Source organism: Homo sapiens, chromosome 8 (genome assembly GCF_000001405.40).
Source record: "Homo sapiens chromosome 8, GRCh38.p14 Primary Assembly".
NCBI lineage: Eukaryota > Metazoa > Chordata > Mammalia > Primates > Hominidae > Homo > Homo sapiens.
The window spans coordinates 121,573,395-121,578,577 of record NC_000008.11 but is presented as its reverse complement, the minus strand read 5'-3'; the positions used below and the strand labels follow the sequence as shown (position 1 = coordinate 121,578,577).

The window sequence follows — 5,183 nt, the reverse complement described above, 5'->3', positions numbered from 1 at the left end:
CATCAGTGGTAGACTGGATAAAGCAAATATGATACATGTACACTATGGAATACTATGCAGCCATAAAAAAGAATGAGATCATGTCCTTTGCAGGAACGTGGATGTAGCTGGAGGCCATCATCCTTAGCAACTAATGCAGGAACAAACAGGAAACCAAATACCCCATGTTCTTACTTCTAAGTGGGAGCTAAATGATGAGAACACATGGACACTTGGAGGGGAACAACACACACTGGAGCATAATTTAGGGTGGGAAGACGGAGGGGATCAGAAAAAATAACTATTGGGTACCAGGCTGGGTGACAAGATAATCTGTACAACAAACTCCCATGAAATGAGTTTACCTATAGAACAAACCTGCACATATACCCTGAACCTGAAATAAAAGTTAAAAGAAAAAAAATAATTCAGACTCGTTTATACAACTGAGGCTGCTTGTAATTCCAACCAGCTCAGTGCTCATACCACCCCACTTGCTGAACCCTAAGTCAGAAACTACCCACTAACTTAGCTCCCCTGTCTCGAAAACCCACAGGGGAAACATTAATCTGGGGAAATTTTTAGATGTATATTTCTGTATCCAGTGTGTGACTTTATAGCATCACACACTATTTTAAAAAAACAGTTCCCTAGTCAAAACTTTTGTAATGGACCATAAATCAGGAGATTTGGGTTTTTCTAGGTCTGGCTCTGCCATTAAAATACTCTCTGATCCTGGGCAAGGCACCTCCCCTTTCTCTTCCTCATTTTTCATCTGTTAGAGTAGGACATTTGACTAGCTGGTTTCTAATGACCCTGTAAGCTCTAGGATTCTGAGTCTGATTTTACTAAAGAGACTTTCAAAAAAGGTTAATTCCTCCAACATTCTCCTACCTCACTAATTAATGGCAGAAATGAGGAGTAGGGAGAAACAAATGAATTTGGAATGTGATTCAGGTTCAAACTCTGGTTCCGCTAACCACTGGTAATGAAATATTGTCCAACTGATACACTTTCTACAAACTTTTGCTTTCTACTTTACAAAATGGATAAAATAATACCTCATAATTTTTCCCTTTTCTCTTGTATTGTTTTGTTTTGAGATGGAATCTCGCTCTATTGTCCTGGCTGGAGTGCAGTGGCATGATTTTGGCTCACTGCAACCTCTGCTTCCTGGGTTCAAGTGATTCTCCTGCCTCAGCCTCCCAAGTAACTGGGATTACAGGCACGTGCCACCATGCCCGACTAAAATTTTGTTATTTTTAGTAGAGACAGGGTTTCACCATGTTGGCCAAGTTGGTCTTGAACTCCTGACCTCAAGTGATTCACCTGCCTTGGCCTCCCAAAATGCTGGGATTACAGGTTGAGCCACTGTGCGCAGCCACCTCATAATTGTTTTCATAATTAAATACCGTAACATACAAAATGGACTGGTGTAAGGTAAATAGCCTGCTCCAACCCTTCTATAGCGCATCTTCCTGTTTTGCTCTATCTTCCTCCTTTCCTTCCTTTTGTCCTACATACTCACTCCCAGAATTCTCTTTCATAAGTATGACCTGGATATGTATTTTCTGAGTACTAAGAAAAATGTAGTACTATTATATTTAGTACTAGGTGGTACTAAATATTAGTTAAGGCAAAAAAATTTAGGCAAAAATTTGCCTAAATATTAGGTAGAATTTTTGGATCAATAGTTAGTCTTGAAAGGATAGTGTCTTATTTTTTTCCCCAGTCCAACTTTCTTGCTAAAATTGATCCTTGAACTTATTTTGTATTCTCCACTGTTTTTATATAAAGTATAGCAATTTTCTAGTGTCTGACAAGCCAACTCAATATCATACAAATGATCAGAAACCATTCAAATTTTCCAAGAAATGTTATATTCATTATCTCATTTGGGCCTCCTAAGAACATCCTTATGAGTATGCTACCGAGGGCCATTAGCTCCATTTTGCAATTAAGAAAACAGAAGCACAAAGAGATCAGAAAGAGAGCAGGTCTCAACCTTTAGCTCTATGTGTTTTTGTTTTTTGCCAAGTTCATTTCTGTTGGAGACTGATTAGCTACTCCCCAAAAACTCTTCCTCTTCTCCCGGGTACACAGATGGGCACCGTCCTTTGCAGTGAGGTGTGATCACATATTTGAGTTCTGGTCAATGGAATGTGAGTGGAAATGTTTGGCACTACTGGATCTAGTTCTAGAGAGCTTCTCAGTAAAATTTTCCATGCATTATAAATGTTCAATTTATTTATTACAGCAGTCAACATTACTATAACCCTTACAATAATTTCCTATTACTCCTATATCTCTTTTTCTTCCTTTCCTCAAAACATTCTGTACTTATGCCTTCCTTCCTCATGATTCTTTCCTCCTATGGAAGGCACTAACCTTCTACGAATCCTTCAAGGATGACATCATACGAGAATTATGTGCTCCATGATACCTCCCCCCAAAATCTCCTACAGCATTCTATTTCCAAATATATAACATCAACAATTGGTATCATGCATTTTGGTACTTGATTAAACTGGACAGTGTTGGTTATGTATATTAGGTTTCACCAAAATTAGATTGTCTTAATTTATCACATATCCAGTGATACCCCACGAGGTATTGCAAACGCAGCAAGAGCTTAATCAATTCCTGCTGATTAATTGAATGTTACAGGTTTAATGAGCAAAACTGAAAATATCTGACCATTGCCTGGCCATTCATTACATTGCAATGATTTACTGAGTACCTATTATGACTTTGGCATTGCTCTGGAAACTAAGACCAAAGTAACTATACTACTTCCTTATCTTCCCTTCAGGATAGTTTTTCGTTTAATTTTTCCACCCTAGAGCTTTTCTCCTAGGGTTGGCTGCTTTCTGTACATCAACAAGGAGTATCTGTGAGGTACATTGAATAGATTAGGCCTTAAATCCAGATAGTTTGAGGCTCAAATCCTGGTTCTCTCATTTACTTTCTGTGTAACTTGGGATAATATCCTTATTCTTTCTGTACTGCTGGTTCTGTCACAATAAAAGAAAAAGTAATATATAACTTACAAGGTTGGCGCAATGATAAAAATAACACACATAAATGCCTAAACCTAAATAAATAGAGCAAATGTTCAGAAAAACATTAGTTTCCTTTTAGCGTGGCCCAGTCATTTGAAAGAGGGAAGCCACCTTTCCCAATGGAACATACAGACATTCAGAGTGAAGTCTGAGGTGAAATAGGTGACCATCCTAGAGGACCTGTAGTCCCTCTGTGCCTTTTTTTTTTTTTTTTTGAGACAGAGTCTTACTCTGTTGCCCAGGCTGGAGTGCAGTGGCACAATCTCAGATCACTGCAACCTCCACCTGCCGAGTTCAAACAATTCTCCTGCCTCAGCCTCCCGAGTAACTGGGATTACAGGCGCTTGTCACCACACCTTGCTAATTTTTGTGTTTTTAGTAGAGATGGGGTTTCATCATGTTAGCCAGGCTGGTCTCGAACTCCCGACTTCAGGTGATCCGCCCACATCAGCCTCCCAAAGTGCTGGGATTGCAGGTGTGAGCCACTGTGCCCGGCCCCTCTGTGCCTTTTAAGAATTTCCCCAAGTTCCTCACTGGGACCTTTCCAGAGAAAAAATAAATTCAGAGAATCTGTGGGATCTCTTCTCCATTCAGGAGGAGGACAGAAGAAAACTGTTGATTTATTAGATGTGAGAGTTTGGAAAAAAGTGACATTATTCCTAATTCTTTGCATCTCTTGCTTATGTATTTAGTCCTATAGACTTAAAGGGCAAGTTAATAACAGTTCAAACTTAGTTCGTCCCTGTGTTATGATGATTTTGCAGTGTATGGATCTTCCATACTAGTAAATGAAATGATTTTATGCAATATGAAGACACAGCATTCAGGCTCTAAGAAGAGCCGCACAGGCCAGGATGGGGGAGACGTAGCTGAACAGCTGCACGTGTGAGAGGGATTAGTGATTTCAGTTGACTGCCAGCCCAACATGAGTCACTACTGTGTAGAGACTGCCAAGAGAATAATTTGATCTGGGGCTGAATTAACAGGACTGCAGTATCCAGACCAAAGGGAGTGATACTCCTGCTGTTTCGGCATGAATCAGACCACACCTAATGTCCCACAGTTCTTGTTTACCTCAAATACCCCATTTCTTTTAGTATTCTATACAAACAGGAGTTGATCGTATTATGGGAACAACTGTCTAATGCTTGCATGAGAAGGCTTTATCCTTTACCTTATCGCTACTGTAGAATTTAGCACAGAAGTTGTGTTGCTATTTTTTATGTTAAGAGACAGGGCCTCTCTATGTTTCCCAGAATGGTCTCAAACTCCTACACTCATGTGATTCTCCTGCCCCAGCCTAGTAGCTGGGACTATAGGTGTGCACCACTGCACCCACCTGACTGTGTTATTTTATGAGTGGATGTTTGCATCTGTGAGGGCTAGAAAAGTGTCCTCTTTTGTGTATCTGGTAGTAAACACAGGATAGAAAAGTTTCTGGTTCTATCTTTTTAAGGCAATATATTGGCTTCAAGAAGCAGTATCTACTATATTAACTTGGACGATGTAATCAAACAGACCTCAATTCAAATATTGGTTAAACTATTACGAACAAGAAAATTCATCAATTTCCCCTCTAACGCTTAGTTCTATGTTTGTGAGTTAGAGTAATTTTCCTACTACTCTCGGCCAGGCGTGGTGGCTCACGCCTGCAATCCCAGCACTTTGGGAGGCCGAGGCTGGTGGACCACAAGGTCAGGAGTTCGAGACCAGCCTGGCCAACATAGTGAAACCTTGTCTCTACTAAAAATACAAAAAATTAGCCAGGCGTGGTGGCAGGAGCCTGTAATGTTAGCTACTCACGAGGCTGAGGCAGGAGAATTGCTTGAACCTGGGAGGTGGAGTTTGCAGCGAGCCGCGATCGTGCCACTGCACACCAGCCCGGGCGACAGTGCAAGACTCCATCTCAAAGACAAACAAACAAACATACAAACAAACAAAAACTTCTCTCTACCCCACTAGGGACACAAAACTATGAATGTATAACATCTTTATCTCCTTTTTCACAAAGCAGTAAGCATTACATTGTGGGAGTTATGTTTCCATAATAAAACAATTTTGGAAGTGGGCTAAGTAAGGAACAGAGCAAGGCAGAGATAGGACAAGCCCTGATCTCTGATTAGTGAAAACACTGGGGAAATT

At 40.4% G+C, this 5,183-nt stretch overlaps 1 annotated feature.

Annotated features, from left to right (window-relative positions):
- Nucleotides 3,835-4,129: a silencer, noted in NCBI's record as "tiled region #7296; HepG2 Repressive non-DNase unmatched - State 24:Quies, and K562 Repressive non-DNase unmatched - State 24:Quies". NCBI's record gives its function as "represses a minimal TATA promoter and a strong SV40 promoter by Sharpr-MPRA in HepG2 and K562 cells {active_cell/tissue: HepG2 | K562}" and the evidence as "EXISTENCE:reporter gene assay evidence [ECO:0000049][PMID:27701403]".